The 17,489-nt window shown below is 39.9% G+C and overlaps 1 protein-coding gene across 30 annotated transcripts in view; it reads right to left on the minus strand.

The window, feature by feature from the left end:
• ABI1 (abl interactor 1) overlaps window positions 1–17,489 on the minus strand; it is a 114,363-nt gene that overhangs the window by 89,619 nt on the left and 7,255 nt on the right. Inside the window, exon 2 of one of the 30 annotated variants that reach the window (NM_001178116.2) lies at window positions 3,519–3,569. The exons of the other annotated variants lie outside the window; for them this stretch is intronic. Within the exon in view, the coding sequence (NP_001171587.1) occupies window positions 3,519–3,569 (51 nt within the window). The remainder of the gene's footprint in view (window positions 1–3,518; window positions 3,570–17,489) is intronic. 30 annotated transcript variants of the gene reach the window in all.

Consider the following 17,489-nt stretch of genomic DNA (forward strand, 5'->3'; position numbering starts at 1 on the left):
CGATTCTCCTGCCTCAGCCTCCCGAGTAGCTGGGACTACAGGCGTGCGCCACCACACCTGGCTATTTTTTGTATTTTTAGTAGAGACAGGGTTTCACCATGTTAGCCAGCCTGGTCTCGAACTCCTGACCTCAGGCAATCCACCTGCCTCAGCCTCCCAAAGTGCTGGGATTACAGACGTGAGCCACTACGCCTGACCTCTTGATAGTATCTTAGTGGAAACCGACAACATGTATTTGTGTAAACAGTGTGACCTAATTTTGTCTGATATAATTAGTACCTGTACAAACTAATATGCCAGACAATGAGAAGATAGGCATGTAAATAGTTGGATTATGAGTGATTTATGTTTTCATCCTTTCCCTCTTGTGACATTTTCCAAATGATCCACAATAGCCGCGTAACATTTCTGTTGCAACCATCTTGCAGATACCAGGAAACTAAGAATAAGGCTAATAGTACCTCCCTACCACCCCACCAAAACTGAGGGTGAAAATGTAAAGAATGTGAATCCTTGATGATACTGAGCTGAAGAATTAACCCTAACTCTAACCCTAAATTCCTACCTTGGAATTTGTTACATGAAATAATAAATGCTCCTTACTGTTTAAGTTAACTGAGTTGTATTACTTATAGCCAAATACACCCTAAATGATTTAACTTTTATATGGGAGGAGAAAGTACTTTCATAAAAAGGGTCTTGGCTGAACCAGAAAGTAACAATTTATAATAATACCCCCTAGTTACACAGACAAAAGATCTACTAAAGTAATTCTCAAATTACTGAGGCTGTTTTCTAAACTAGTCCAGTAATTTATAGCTGGTTATGTTACTCATTAAAATGTTACCTGAGAAATCACTCTAGTTTGCCTTTCCCACAAGGCAATTATATTTTAAACTGTATTAAATATACAGTCGGCTTGGGCTGCCATTAACAAAATACCACAGACTGCATGGCTTCAACAAGAGAAATGTATTTTCTCACAGTTCTGAAGGCCAGGAAGTCCACAATCAAGGTTCCAGTAGGTTCTGGTTCTAGCAAGGGATTTCTTCTTGGCTTGCAGACAGCCACCTTCTCGCTGTGTCCTCACATGGCAGAGAGAGACCAATCTCTGTTGTCATTTCCTCTTTTATAAGTACCCTAGCTCTATGGGATCAGGGCTCCAGCCTTATGACCTCATTTAACCATATTCACCTCCTTAAAGGCCCTAGCTCCAACACAGTCACATGGTGGGGGAGACGGGTTTGAGGCTTCAACATAAGGATGGCAGGGGGACACAATTCTATTCACAATTAGAATAATCTTTAACTTCAAACATTAGGAAATGATGTCTTCTTACAAATACTTGACGGCAATACTGTTAACAGTTACATATAATTAGTATTTAATTTTCTTTTTCTGGTGTTTTTGTTTTTGAAACAGAGTCTCACTCTGCTGCCCAGGCTAGAGTGCAGTGGTGCAATCCATCTCAGCTTACTGCAATTCTGCCTCCCAGTTTCAAGCAATTCACATGCCTCGGCCTCTTCAGTAGCTGGGATTACAGGTGGGTGCCACCACACCCAGCTAATTTTTGTATCTTTAGTAGAGACAGGGTTTCCTCATGTTGCCCAGGCTGGTCTCAAATTCCAGGCCTCAAGTGATCCACCTGCCTTGGCCTCCCAAAGTGCTGAGATTAGAGGCATGAGCCACCACACCCAGCTTAGTTTTCAAAGCATTTTCACATAGTAACCTAAGCAGGTATCTTGGTTTCACAGATGAAGGCACTAATGAAAGCTCACTGATACTGATCTTTACACAACTCTTAATCTTATTACTTTTTTTTTTTTTGAGAGAGAGTCTTGCTCTGTCACCCAGGCTAGAGTACAGTAGCACAATCTCAGCTCACTGCAACCTCCATCTCCTGCGTTCAAGCGATTCTAATGCCTCAGCCTCCTGAGTAGCTAGGATTACAGGTGACCGCCACCACACCCAGCTAATTTTTGTATTTTTAGTAGAGACAGGGTTTCACCATCTTGGCCAAGCTGGTCTGGAACTCCTGACCTCGTGATCCACCCACCTCAGCCTCCCGAAGTGCTGGGATTACAGGCATGAGCCACCGCACCCGGCCAACTCTTAATCTTTCACATGCACCTGAGGTATGGGAACTTCATTTTACCTAATGTTCTAAACATCAGAATCAGTTTAGGGAAAGGGAAGAGGAAGGAGCAGAGGACAGGGTTCCAAGCAGAATGAAATGAACAGTATCTGTTTAAAGGTGAGTAAGCCTACGACAGTAGACCCAATGGGGGAATATACCACAAGGCTCCAGAAATACTATAGGCCCTTGAGAGCATTTTAGGGAATGTGGATTTCATTGTAAGTCTAGTGGGGAAACACTAAAGAATTTTTAGGAAGAAAAAATATGACTAGTTTCAGGCTTTAGAAACATCACTTCAGCTGCAGTTTTATAAACTAGATTGTGGAAATCAGAGGCCACAAAAAAGGAGACAAGGATTCTGTTGCAATATGTATTCTGTGACACATAAACAAGAAAGACATCTTTAAGTGAAATATCCCACTTAGCCTAGCAAACAATGAGGAAAAAGAAATTTGTAGTGGTTAAATAACTTGCCCAAGATAACACTGCTAGGAAGAATAGAACCGCTACGTCTCCCAAAGACCACGGTCTGCCACTATGCCACACTGCCTCCATTTATAATTCTAAAAATGAACAAAGTATAATTCTAATGTGGCCTCTATGATGAACCACTCCAAGTCATCATTAACTACTCTGCATACCGCATGAATTTTAATTCACTGGGAGGGTAAAGAGCGGAGACTGAGAAAGTAAATGTTCTCAGGATAACTGAGCATGTTTTTGATCTATGAAACAATTGATGTTCTACACATAGGGTTCTATAAATGGAAGAAACAAAAATTAAACATTTAACACGTTTCTAGGTTATCCTTCACTGAAGTGACAAAACCACATCTTTAATTCATGCCCAAATAAATTTAACTAGCCAGGTATGGTGGCTGACACCTGTAATCCCAGCACTTTGGGAAGCTGAGGAAAGTGGATTGCTTGAGCTAAGGAGTTCGAGACTAGCCTGGAGAACATGGCAAAACCTCATCTCTACAAAAATATAAAAATTAGCCAGGCATGGTGGCATGAGCCTATAGTCCTAGCTACTGGGGAGGCTGAGGTGGGAGGACTGCTTGAGCCCAGGAGGTTGAGGCTGCAGTGAGCCGAGATCATGCCACTGCACTCCAGCCTGGGCGACAGAGCAGGACCCTGTCTCAAAAACAAAAATAAGGGGAAAAAAAGGTAACTTTACTAGGAAATTACTTAAGCAGTATAATGCATCTTTTAACAAACTACTAGGTAGGGTGGTAGTTAACACTGTCACAATCAGCACCACCCTTAACTGACTTGAGAAAAAGAAGTACTTCTGTTTAAAAAAAAAAAAAAACATGCCAGGCTTGGTGGCTCACACCTGTAATCCCAATGCGTTGGGAGGTCAAGGTAGGAGGATTACCTGAGGCCAGGAGTTTGAGAGCAGACACAGCAACACAGCAAAACCATGTCTCTACAGAAAAAATAAAAATAAATAAATCTTTAAAGTTTGCACTTTAAAGATGGTAAAGATGGCAAAAATGGTAGCACGTGCCTGTAGTCCCAACAACTTGGAAGGCTAAGGCAAGGGAACTGCTGGAACCCAGGACTTTGGGACCACAGTGAGCTATGATCACACGACTGCACTCCAGCCGGGGTGACATAGAGAGATCCTGTATCAAAAAAAACAAAAACAAAAACAAAAAAAACAAATTCAAGATTCTATGAATACTAGCAAAAGTACCTTGTCCTTCCATCGATTGTATTTCCTCACTGCTGTAGTTTAGATGTTTGTCCCCTCAAACCTCATGTTGAAATATGATCCCCAATGCTGGAGGTGGATCCTAATGGGAGGTGTCTGGGTTATGGGGGAGGATCCCTCATGAATGGCTTGGGGTCCTCAGGTAAATTCTTGCTCTACTACTTCCAAAGGGCTGGTTGTTTAAAAGGGTCTAGCACCTCCCCACCTTGCTTCTTGCCAAGTGATCTCTGCAAATGTCAGCTCCCTTCCCTTCAGCTACAAGTAGAAGCAACTTGAAGCACTCATCAGAAGCAGATGTTGGCACCATGCTTCTTATACGGTCTGCAGAACCACAAGTCAAATAAATTACCCAGCCTGAAGTATTCCTTTGTAGCAACACAAACAGACTAAGACACTCACTTAAACCAGCTTACAACACAGTTTCACAGAATAGTCTTAGCTATCTCCAGCCTAGTGATTCATTAATCACATTTTCCAAATCAAAAATCAGGACCAGTATGACACTACCTGACAAATTACGTGTATCCTAATTTCTTAATCTATTCTGGAAGAGTATAAAACTTACAAAACTGTAAGTATCAATTAATCTCTACTGTAATCAATTGAATTTTCTATGCTACTGCTATTCCAAAAAATCTGAGATGTGAACAAAGGGATATTCTGTTCACACAGAAACAAGAGACAAAAAATAATAATTTATTAATAAATTATCACATCAGATCCCAGGCAAATAGGTAATTTAATCACTTAGAAATCTAAACACCAATTAACAGGATACAAAAGCATTTTTAAAAAGGCATTCACCTCAGTATATGGGCCACACCAATACAGTTTTGGTCCATCATCAACCACTACCATTAGATTCTAGCATAGTAATTAAAATTCAGGCTGTATAACAAAGATCAAGAAACTATGTCCCTGCTCAGGCCAAATACTTCTCCCCATTTTTGCAAATAACATTTTACTAAAACATAGCCACATCCATTCCTTACATATCATCTATGGTTTTCTTACTACAATAGCAGAGTTGAGTAATTGTGTCAGACCATATGGCATGCAAAGCCTAAAATATTTACTATCTGGCCCTTTACAGGAAACACCTGCCCACTCTTGCTCTAGAAAAGTGATTCTCAACTCTAGGTGGACATCAGCACTACCTGGTGAGCTTTTATTCTTTTTATATCAACCATATATTTTATTTCATTTTTTAAATAAATTTTATTGTATATATTTAAAGCATACAACATGATGTTATGGGATTCATATAGAAAGCAAAATGGTTACTGCAGTGAAGCAAATTAACATATATATCAACCCACATAGTTACCTTTTTTTTTTTTTTTTGGTTTGTTTTTGTGGCAAGGACAGCTAAAAATCTATTCATTTAGCAGGAATTCCAAATATAGTACAATTTTATTAGCTACAGTCCTCTTATTAGCTACATGTTACACATTAGATCTCTAGGCTCTTTCATCCTACATACTTGCTATTTTCTTACCCCTCACCTACATTTCCCATTCCCCACCCACTTGCTCCTGGTAACCCACTCTTTTATTCACTCTGTATATTTGACTCTTTTTTTTTATTTTTTTTAAGATTCCACATATGAGATCATGCAATATTTGTCTTCCTGTGTCTGGCTTATTTCACTCAGCATACTGCCTCCAGGTCATCCATGTTGTGGCAAATGGCAGTATCTGCATTTTAAGGCTGAATAATATTCCATTATATATGCATATCACATGTTCTTTATCCATTCATCTATCAGTGGACATTCAGGTTGTTTCCACAGCTTGGCTAATGTAAATAACACTGCAATGAACATGGGAGTGCAGATATCTTTATAAGGTGATCTCACTTCCTTTAGGTATATGCCCGATAAGGAATTGCTGGGTCATATAGTACTTCTATTTTTCATTTCTTTAGCAACCTCCATACTATTTTCCATCATGGCTGTACCAATCCACACTCCCACCAACAGTGTACAAGGGGTCCATTTTCTCCACACCCTCGCCAACATTTGTTATCACTTCACTTTTTTATGACAGCCACCCTAAGGGGTGTGAGGTGACGCCCACAGTGGTTTTGATCTGCATTTCTGCATGGCTAATGCTGTTGAGTACCTTTTCATATACCTGTCAGCCATCCTTATGTCTTCTTTGAAAAAACATCTGTTCAAGTCTTTTGCCCATTTTCTAATCAGATTATTTTTCTATTATTGAATTATATGAGTTCTTCATGAATTTTAGATATTAATCCCTTATCAGATAAATGGTTTGCAAATATGTTTTCCCAGACCATAGGTTGTTACATTTTGTTGATTGTTTCCTTTGTTTTGAAGAAGCTTTTCAGTTTGACGTCATTCCATTTATTTATTTTTGCTTTTATGGCCTAAGCTTTTAGTGTGGAATCCAAAAAGAAAATTCTAGCTGGACACCAGCACTATCTGGTGAGCTTTTTAAAAAATTCCAGAGCCTGAGACCCAATCTAACCCTCTCCCCCTAAAAAGATGCCAATTTCATTGGTCTGGGGAGAGGCCATTAGCTATTGATATACCAGTACAAAAATGTGTACAATTAAACAAGAAAATTCAAAATACAAAAATCAGGGTTTTACCATATAATATAAAAGATAAAGGCAAGACATTAATATACAGACCACAGAGTACTACATAATAAATTAGAGCCACAAGAGGCTAGGCGCAGTGGCTCACGCCTGTAATCCCAGCACTTTAGGAGGCCGAGGAGGGTGGATCACAAGGTCAGGAGATCAAACCATCCTGGCCAACATGGTGAAACCTCACCTCTACTAAAAATATAAAAATTAGCCGGGCATGGTGGTGTGCACCTATAGTCCCAGCTACTCGGGAAGCTGAGGCAGGAGAACTGCTTGAACCCGGGAGGAGGAGGCTGCAGTGAACCAAGATCTAGCCACTGCACTCCAGCCTGGGCGACAGAGCAAGACTCCATCTTAAAAAGTAAATAAATAAATAATAAATTAGAGCCACAAGTTTGGCTCTGGCTTTTGCATGAATCCACAAAGATAAAGGAAAAAAGATTATATGATTTATAGTATCCATAGGTCAAAATATCTTGGTGGGGTCCAGCATGGTGGCTTACACCTGTAATCCCAGCACTCTGGAAGGATGAGGTGGGCAGATCACCTGAGGTCAGGAGTTCAAGACCAGCCTGGCCAACACAGTGAAACCCTGTCTCCACTAAAAAATACAAAATTAGCCGGGGTGTGGTGGCATGCACCTGTAGTCCCAGATACTTGGGAGGCTGAGGCAGGAGAATCGCTTGAACCTTGGAGGCGGAGGTTGTAGTGAGCTGAGATCATGCCACCACACTCCAGCCTTTATGACATAGCAAGACTCCGTCTCAAAAAAAAAAAAAAAAAAAAAAAAAAAAAAAAATATATATATATATATATATATATATATATGTAGAAGCAAAGCTTTTCCTAAAACTTCCATGTGACTATAAAAGGAATGTATTGCAATTCTCCTCAGTGATGTAAATATTAATATATCACACATTCTTCCCACCTTGCAGCACCGTACCTCCTCACCCAAAAAGCAAAAATGAGAGTGGCAGGATTTTCATAGAGATAGTACCATGCTGCCTTTCTTCTTCTTCTTTGTGGTAGTGGGGCAAGGTAGGAGAGGTAGGATGGGTGGAAGAAATACCCAATTGAGTTGAAAAAAAAAATAGCTCTATATACCACAAGACATTAATAAACACTAACAATAAAGCCACTCATACAAGCAGTCCCCAAGTTATGACAATTAGCTCATACAAAAGTGATTGATTCAGACCTATAACTCATTTATCTTATATTTAACCACTCATCCAGTGGTTTCTGTTGATTATGCCAAACGTGTCTAGACAAATGAACAGAATATGTCAGGACATAGCAAAAGCACAATTTCATCTTACCAGTGTTAAATTTAAAACACGGTTTCTATTTTCAAATCTGGGAAACACTGATCCGATCTTCTACAGTTTAGTGACAGCAGTTCAAGTATGTTTTTGACTAAGACTTCATCTCCTCCACCTTCCCTGGCACTTGACACTACTCACAGCTCTCCCAAACATGCCTTGCTATCTTTCTGTTCCTACTACCTATATATATCCCTTGCCTCCCAATCCCCCTTCCCCTCAACTCTTTAAATTAATGACTCGGCTAAACTCATTCTTTAGGAGAAACTTTGCCTGAGAACCCCCAAACACTACTGTTCCTTAGAATTCTCTCTAAAAGTTCCTTTCAAAAAGAGATCATTTTCAACCCACGTCATATGTATTTGAAATTTATAAAGACTACACATATAAAAATACCAACAATCTGTAATGCAGAAGGTTATGATAGAACATCAAAATTAACATCAAAAGACATGCACCTCATGCCACAACAGTATATAGCCAGAGAAACTGGAATCCCTTTCCTCTCCTCTTCCCTCTTCCCTTCCCTGTTCTGCCCACGCAGCCAGCTAGCAGTCAAGCTTTATTCCTATTCTCCAACCCACTGCTCTGCCAATCAATTCAATTGTGGAGGAGTAAAAGCTGGAAAGTGTCAGAAACCAACTGTGTACTAACAGCTGAAAAAGAGGGGGTCTATAGATTCACTTCTGTGACTGCAAATTACCTTCTGTAGGCGCATTAGCTTTATGCTAGGGGAAAATAGATACCGGTTAAATAAGCCTTCTTTGGGTTCTCCTTTTCCCGCAGCCACCCATATCTCCTTCACCAAGGCTTGCTGATTCTTATCTTCCTTTTCAATCTTACTACAGCTATCTCAATTCATGAAATACTCTTTACAGTGAGACAAATGTGACAGTCCTCTAACTGGTCACTGTCCATCCAGTCTCTCCCTTCTCCAATCCATCCCGTACCAATGTAAGATGAATCTTCCCAAAGCACATCCTTTGTACAAAAACTGGAAAGGCAGAAAACAAGCATACAGTTTGAGGGGAGAGGATAATAGCAGTATGGGGAGAAGAAGAAGAGACATTTTAGGTTTGACTTTTAATACAACTGTATTGACCCTTTTATAGGAACATATTACCTAAATGCTTTAAAAAAAAAAAAAGCTGCTTGACATATTCTCTTTCCATAAGCAAACTTCTGACTGCCCAAACTAAAATCAAAACCCTTTCAAAAATAACAATTATTTTTCTTCCATACAGAACATTTCCTCATTTAACTATACATACTATAGACCAATTTTCTTTTTCTTAGATTTAAGGCTTTTCAGTGATTTCTACATAGCTTATAAATAATATAGACACAAAGCAGGGCATGATGGCTCACACCTATAATCGCAGCACTTTGGGAGGCTGAGGCGGGCGGATCACCTGAGGTCAGGAGTTCGAGACCAGCCTGACCAATATGATGAAACCCCATCTCTACTAAAGCTACAAATACTAGCTGGGTATGGTGGCATGTGCCTGTAATCCCAGCTACTTGGGAGGCTGAGACAGGAAAATCACTTGAACCCGGGAGGTGGAGGTTGCAGTGAACCAAGATCGTGCCATTGCACTCCATCCTGGACAACAAGAGCGAAACTCTGTCTCAAAAATAATAATAATAATATAGACATCATACCACCACATCATAATACCTAACAGACAGTCTTCCATAGAGTAGGCAATTAACTATTTGTTGAATGAATCTTTCTCTATTTCAGTTCAACAAATCCCAATAGCCTCAAATACTCCTCTTTTTAGAAAAGAAAAATAATAGTCACAGTCTACCATGATGAGTTCAGGCACTGAAGATTTTAGAAAAAATGGACAAGCACAGTGGCTCATGCCTGTAATCCCAGCACTTTGGGAGGCCGAGGCAGGCAGAGCACCTGAGGTCAGGAGTTCAATACCAGCCTGGCCAACATGGTGAAACCCCGTCTCTACAAAAAAATACAAAAAGTAGCCAGGCACGGTGGTGGGTACCTGTAATCCCAGCTACTGAGGCTGAGGCAGAGAGACTTGCTTGAACCTGGGAGGTAGAGGTTGCAGTGAGCTGAGATCACACCACTGCACTCCAGTCTGGGCGACAGAGTGAGACTCCGTCTCAAAAAAAAAAAAAAGATTTTAGAAAAACCATCACCAATTGCTACCATCACCTCTAGACTAGCCACCCTCCAATCTGTTCTGAACTCCTTCCAATCTGTAGTCAATCCTCCTTCCAATCTGTTCTCCACTCTAAACAAGAGTAAACTTCATAAAAAGTAAAAATTATATCATCCCATTGCTGAAAACTTTCTTTCTCTTTTCTTTTTTTTTTTTTTTCTTGAGGCAGAGTCTCACTCTGTTGCCCAGGCTGGAGTGCAGTGGCGTGCTCTCAGCTCGCTGCAACCTCCGCCTCCCAGGTTCAAGTGATTCTCCTGCCTCAGCCTCCTGAGTGGCTGGGACTACAGGCAAGCACCACCATGTCTGGCTAATGTTTGTATTTTTAGTAGAGACGGGGTTTCACCATGTTGGCCAGACTGGTCTCAAATTCCTGACCTCAAGCGATGGGCCCACCTTGGCCTCCCAAAGTGCTGGGATTACAGGCAGGAGCCACTGCGCCCAGCCTTGCTTAAAACTTTCAATGCCTTCTCATCAGCCTCAGACAAAAAAAAAGATCAAAATCCTTATCTGGTACCTACCTACCTCTTCACAGATGACTCTGTTTACTCTGAAGTACACAAGTGTGTAACTTGTTCAAAATCACTCTGCCTTCACTCTTACCTTTGAGCCTGTACACATGCTGCTCTCCCCTCCACAGAGACACTGTTTTCCCTTCCCCCAAATGTTCTCGGTTAACATATATTCACCCTTCAGATCTCAACTCCAACATTACTTCTATGACACACCAAGCTAGGTGGCAGCACCTGATGTATACTTTCATGTCACATGTACCTTCCCTAGATGTAATTTATTATAGTTTGAGTTATTTGATTAATGGAGGAGGCCAACTATAAAATCACTTGAGGGTAGAAACTGTATCTGATTGACAAAACAGTCTGACACATAATACGTGTAAAAAGTCGCAGAATAACTGAGTATGTGACAAACTAATATACTCTGTCATACTAAGAAGCACAATACATATAATTATAAATATATTTCATTTTACTGTGCATTCCTTTTGGAACTCCTGTGGTTCCAACTTGGGAGCCTATACAATTTTGCCAGTTTTCTTTGGGATCTTTATGGTATTATCTGATTATTCTAAAAGAATAAGAGTTATCACCAGTTTGTCTTCCCACTATTCAAAGCAAACTCTGAGGACCAGGCATGGTGGCTCACGCCGGTAATCTTAACTCTTTGGGAGGTCAAGGTAGGCAGATCCCCTGACCCCAGGAGTTCAAGACCAGCCTGGAAAACATGGTGAAACCCTGTCCTTAACAAAAAAATAACAAAAATTAGCCAAGCGTGATGGTGCACACCTGTAGTCCCAGCTACTTGGGAGGTGAGGTGGGAGGATTGCTTGAGCCCAGGAGGTTGAGGCTGCAGTGAGCTGAGATCGCACCACTGTACTACAGCCTGAGCAACAGAGAGAGACCCTGTCTTTAAAAAAAACAAGCAAAATTTGATTATTATTAATTTTAAGGGAAGATGGAACTGAAAAAAAATAGGCTTCTCAAACCTTTTAAAAGAGATATTATTTAACAGAGGAAAAGATAAATGCAAAGCCTTTTTTCATGGAAAACATAAAATGTATATAATAAAAGGGGGAAAATGCCAGAGAAACAACTAAAACAAAAAGTGTACCCTCTGTTTTTTGTCCTTTTCTCCCACTTCAGTTGGGTTATTCTTATTTTTTAAGATGTTGGGCCAGACCTGGTGGCTCACACCTGGGAGGCTCACATGTTGGGAGGCCGAGTCAGGAGGATTGCTACGTTGGGAGGCCGAGTCAGGAGGATTGCTTGAGCTCAGGAGTTCAAGACCAGACTGGACCACATGCCAAAACCCTGTCTCTATAAAAAATACCCAAAAAATTAGCTGGGCACGGTGGCACACCTGTAATTCCAGCTATTTGGGAGGCTGAGGTGGGAGGATGACCTGAGCCCAGGATTTCAAGGCTGTAGTGAACAGTAATCGTGCCACTGCACTCCAGAACCTGGGCAACAGAGCGAGACCCTGTCTCAAAAAAAAAAAAAAAAAAAAAAGAAGAAGAAGAAGAAGAAGATGTAAATATATTAGTACCAAAGTGATACATGCCATGGATAATAACAAGAGATTTCTTCACATCTAATTTGGAACATACTCAAATTAGAAATGAATGATTGTTATATCATTTTAAAATTAAAAATATTATTTCTCACTACTTCCTAAAAATCATTTAATTTTAAAACCGCCTATGAATCAAATAAATTCATATCAACAAATTACTAAATTTTTGGTATGAAATTTGAAGATAACAGATTTATGAAACTTTTAGCAGCAAATCAGTTTCAAAATCAGTACTAGTGAAAGGTGAATTGTACAGAGCAGTAAGACCCAAATATTAAGAACCAAAATAATTAGCACAGTATGCAATATAAGAAGAGGCTTTTTTTTTTTTTTTTTTTTTGAGACAGAGTCTCGCTCTATCACCCAGGCTGGAGTGCAATGGTACCATCTCAGCTCACTGCAACCTCTGCCTCCCAGGTTCCAGTGATTCTCCTGCCTCAGTCTCCCAAGTAGCTGGGATTACAGGCATGTGCCACCACGCCCAGCTAATTTTTGTATTTTTAGTAGAGACGGGATTTCACCATGTTGGCCAGGCTGGTCTCGAACTCCTGACCTCAGGTGACCCACTCACCTTGGCCTCCCAAAGTGCTGGGATTACAGGCATGAGCCACCACGCCCGGCCAAGACTTTCTCCATAAGAAACTTTACATTTTTTATTTTAATGGCAACTACATTAGTCAGGGATGCTCAATATACATAGTAGTATACAATGATATTTAAAATTCAGACTCCCATTAGCACAAAAGGAAGGTATTAAGTCTACTGAACCAATCATCTATCCCAAATGTTGTCTAGTGTGTTCTGCAGACCCCTGAGGATTCCTAAGACCTTTACAGGGGGTCCACGAGGTCTAAATTATTTTTATAATACTACTAATGTTATTTGCTTTCTTTCCTGAGTTGACATTTGAATTGAAGGTACAAAAACAAAGGTAAATAAAATTACAATAGCCTCTTAGAGGTAATCAAGGCAATGTCACAGACGATACTAGTACTCATTGTGTTCTTTACTGCCAACCATCCACAGAAAAAAAAAGAAAAAGGTTTAAAAAAGCCGGTTTCACTTTAAAATGTTCTTGATGAAGCAGGAAAATTTATTAATTCTATTAAATCTTGACCCTTGAGAAAATGTCTTTTAATATTGTATACGACAAAATGGAAGTACACATACAGTACTTCTGCTACATACTAAGTATGATGGCTCCTGTTAGGAAAAAGCACTTGTGCAGTTTATTTGCAAGCTGAATAAGCCAATTGTTCATGGAACACCATTATTACTTCAAAAACAACTGATAGGTAAACTAAGATTATTTAGACTTGAGCATTTGGCAGACATTTTCCTAAAAATGAATAAAGTAAGCCTAATACTTCAAGGAAAATAACTGGTAATATTTGTTGCCAATAATAAAATTCAAGCTTTCAAGCAAAAACTGGGATCTTGGAAAACTTGAATCCATCAATGTGAACTTGCAAGCTTTGCAATACTTGAAAATTCTTCTAGTGAGATCTGTGTTAATATTAGTGATTGCAATTTTTTCACATTGTATAATGAAATGTGTCAACATTCAGAAGGTCTGCATAACTCAGTGAAAAATATTTTCCAAATGGCCTATGCAATGTATTTTAAAGTAATGGAGTATAAAATATTTATTGATATAGTTTCAGAGTCCACACTGTAACTAACCTTTAAGAAACTACCATCTACCAAGTTTTGTTGTTGTATCAAAGAAAATCATCCACAATTATGTGCACAGCCTATTACAATAGTCCCCCTTTTTCCACTACACAACTGTGTGAGGACAGATTTCCTTCATATACTTCAACCAAAACAAAATGAACAGATTAACTGCAGAAGCAGATATAAGAATTTTGTTGCCATTTATTTTTCACTGAGATGCAATAATGTAAAATAATGTTACTCTTGCCCTAAACATTTTTGTTTTGGAAAACTAAGGTTACATTTTTCATAAAACATTATTTATGTTAATAATAAACACATTAGATATCCCTTTAAATGAATGTTTTAAACTGCTCAGTTTTAGTTTTAGTACAGTAAATGCTAACAGATAGAACCCGCCTAAAAAACGTTCTCGGCCAGGTGTGGTGGCTCACGCCTGTAATCCCAGCACTTTGGGAGGCCAAGGCAGGCAGATCACGAGGTCAGCAGTTCAAGACCAGCCTGGCCAACACGGTGAAACCCTGTCCTTACTAAAAATACAAAAATTAGCCAGGTGTGGTGGCACATGCCTGTAGTCCCAACTACTCAAGAGGCTAAGGCAGGAGAATTGCCTGAACCTGGGAGGCAGAGGTTGCAGTGAGCCAAGACCGCGCTATTGCACTCCAGCCTGGGCAACAGAGTGAGACTCCGTCTCAAAAAAAAAAAAAAAAAGAAAAGAAAAGAATGATGCCCAGGTTTTCAGTGAGTGGGTGGTTGGTAGTGATAGGTTTAGAGGAAGGTGTTGAGTTCAGTTGCTAGCATCTTATGTCTGAGGCACCTGTGATTCAAACAAGCGGAGGGGTCAAGTAGGTTATTAGATATATGAATCTAAACCTCAACAGAAGAAAGATCTAATCTAGAGATTTAGATGGGAATAAATAAAACAGCTTGAGGTGAGATGTGTAGAAAAGAGCCCAAATGAAGCCACTTTAATACTTAATAGTAACAGAGAATAATGGGCCAGAGAGTAATAGGAAAAGCATGAAAGAAAGGTCTATCAGAGAAGCCAAAGGATTAACTTCTCAAAAAAAGTAGGAAAAACCAACCATGCAAAATGATGCAGAGAAAAAAAGCACATGAGAACTAAAATGGGAAAGAATTTTGCAACATGGAGGTTATTAGCATTCAGAGAGCAGTGGAAATAGAACAGGTTAAAGAGTGAATGAAAAGTGGGAGATGGAGGAAAATGCTTGGTTTTTTGTTTTTATTTTAAAAGACAGGGTTTCACTGTTGCCCAGGCTGGAGTGCAGTGGCGCAACCATAGCTCACTGCAGCCTCAAACTCCTGGGCTCAAGTGATCCTCCCACCTCAGTCTGCCAAGTAGCTGGGACTACAGACTAAGCTAATTTTTTTTTTTTTTTTTTTTTTTTTTGAGACAGGGTCTTGCTTTGTTACCCAAGCTGATCTCAAACTCCTGGGCTCAAGCAATCCTCCCACCTCAACCTCCCAAGTAACTGGGATTACAGACTTGAGCCACTGCAGCTAGCTGACAATAGTGTAATAAAACTAGTTAATCCATAAAGGAGAGATAGGTCAGTTACTAGATGAGTATATGAAGTCAAAAGAGTTTTCAAGTACGACAGAGATCTGAAATGTTTCAATTGTGAAAGCACAAATTCAGTAAAGAGAGGAGGTATAAACTTATCAGGAGCATAAGGTTTACAAAAAGGCAGGACAGGATATGACCCACAGTTAGGACTTTAGCTAGGAGGAAGAATGTCTCTCTTCCATTATAAAAAGGAGTAGAATAGGGTGAGCGAGGATAGCAGGTTTGGAGATGCAGTGGTAAGAAATTATAGGTCTTATATGATGAAGTCTATTTTCTCTATGAACCAAAAGACAAGAAAGGAAAGGGTCAGATTTCAAAAAGGGAGAAAAAAATTAAAATAGTTTGTGGTAAGTGGAAGAACAAACTGGCGAGGTTATCTAGTGGGATTGCCTAACTATGTTGAGGGCGCACTTTTGAGTAATAATCAATTTTAAAATGACACCCATGAGCTGAGCATGGTGGGAGGGGCTTGGGGGGAAAGTCTGTAGACCCAGCTACTCAGGAGGCTGAGATGGGAGGATCGCTTGACCCCAGAATTACGAGGACAGCTGGGGAACATAGGAGACCCCAACCCTCATAAAAATTAAAAATAAAATGGCACCCATGTACTCTTTTCTCTATATTGCCTTATTAAAATAAGAATCTGGGCCGAGCACGGTGGCTCACGCCTGTAATCCCAACATTTTGGGAGGCCGAGATGGGTGGATCACCTGAGGTTGGGAGTTCGAGACCAGCCTGACCAACATGGAGAAACCCTGTCTCTACTAAAAATACAAAATTAGCCAGGCGTGGTGGCGCATCCCTGTAATCCCAGCTACTCAGGATGCCGAGGCAGGAGAATTGATTGAACCCAGGAGGCAGAAGTTGAGGTGAGCAGAGATTGTGCCATTATACTCTAGCCTGGGCAACAAGAACGAAACTCTGTCTCAAAAAAATAAAATAAAATAAGCATCTGTTGTTACAACTCTTAAGTTGCTAATATTTGACGTAGTAGGAAACATCTTTTTCTATATGATATAATATATACATTTCTGATGTTTAAGTGGAGGGCATTAATTTCCCATGGGTTCTGAAAAAGTGCCACACTTGCCTTTCCATAGAAGGAAAAATAAAATGTACCAAATACAATTTTGTCAAAGAATGTAGAAATTATTAATAAAAATTAATGATAAAGCATTCAGGAAATGAGTGAATTAAAGGTAAATTGAAGTTTTTCAAAAATGTGTTTTTGCTGGTCGGGCATGGTGGCTCACGCCTGTAATCCCAACACTTCGGGAGGCCAAGGCAGGAGGATCACTTGAGTCCAGGAGTTCAGGACAAACCTGGGCAACACGGCAAAATCCCATCTCTACAAAAATTACAAAAAATTAGCTGGGTGTGGTCCCTCATTAACAGATTTTCTTCATAAACACGGGTTCACTACCAACTATGTCTGAGAAAGTTTTATTTTGTAGATGGAGAAAATTAGTAGATCCAAAGTTAAAAGTACTTATTTGGATTGACACACAGTAGTCAAATCTCAAGTCTCCATTCTAAGGGATGGATATTTACTGTTAAAATGACCACGTCAACTATTTCCTTTAAAAACAAAATCGATGGCGTGAACCCGGGAGGCGGAGCTTGCAGTGAGCCGAGATCACACCACTGCACTCCGGCCTGGGTGACAGAGCGAGACTCCATCTCAAAAAAAAAAAAAAAAAAAATCCAGTAATTGCTACTTTCCTATTGTCTTATTTCTCAACAATGCCCTTTTTTTTTTTTAAAAAAAATCCCTTTTTTCTAACATGATGTCTTAGTAAATATTAAGATCTACAAAGTTTGTAGTTCTGGGGTTTGACTATTATTTCTTCTACAATCAAACCATAATTTCAATAAATATTACAATCAACACAAGATGATATTAGGAAAAATATACAACCTCCCAATCAAAACTTTGTAAATGCTTCAAAATTAGCATTAACTATCAATTTTACCTTACTTTTTTTTTTTTTTTTTTTTGAGACGGAGTCTCGCTCTGTCACCCAGGCTGCCAGGCTGGAGTTCAGTGGCACAATCTCAGCTCACTGCAAGCTCCGCCTCCGGGTTCACGCCATTCAGCCGCCTCAGCCTCCCAGGTAGCTGGGACTACAGATGCCCGCCACCACACCCAGCT

This window comes from Homo sapiens, chromosome 10, assembly GCF_000001405.40.
Source record: "Homo sapiens chromosome 10, GRCh38.p14 Primary Assembly".
Lineage (NCBI taxonomy): Eukaryota > Metazoa > Chordata > Mammalia > Primates > Hominidae > Homo > Homo sapiens.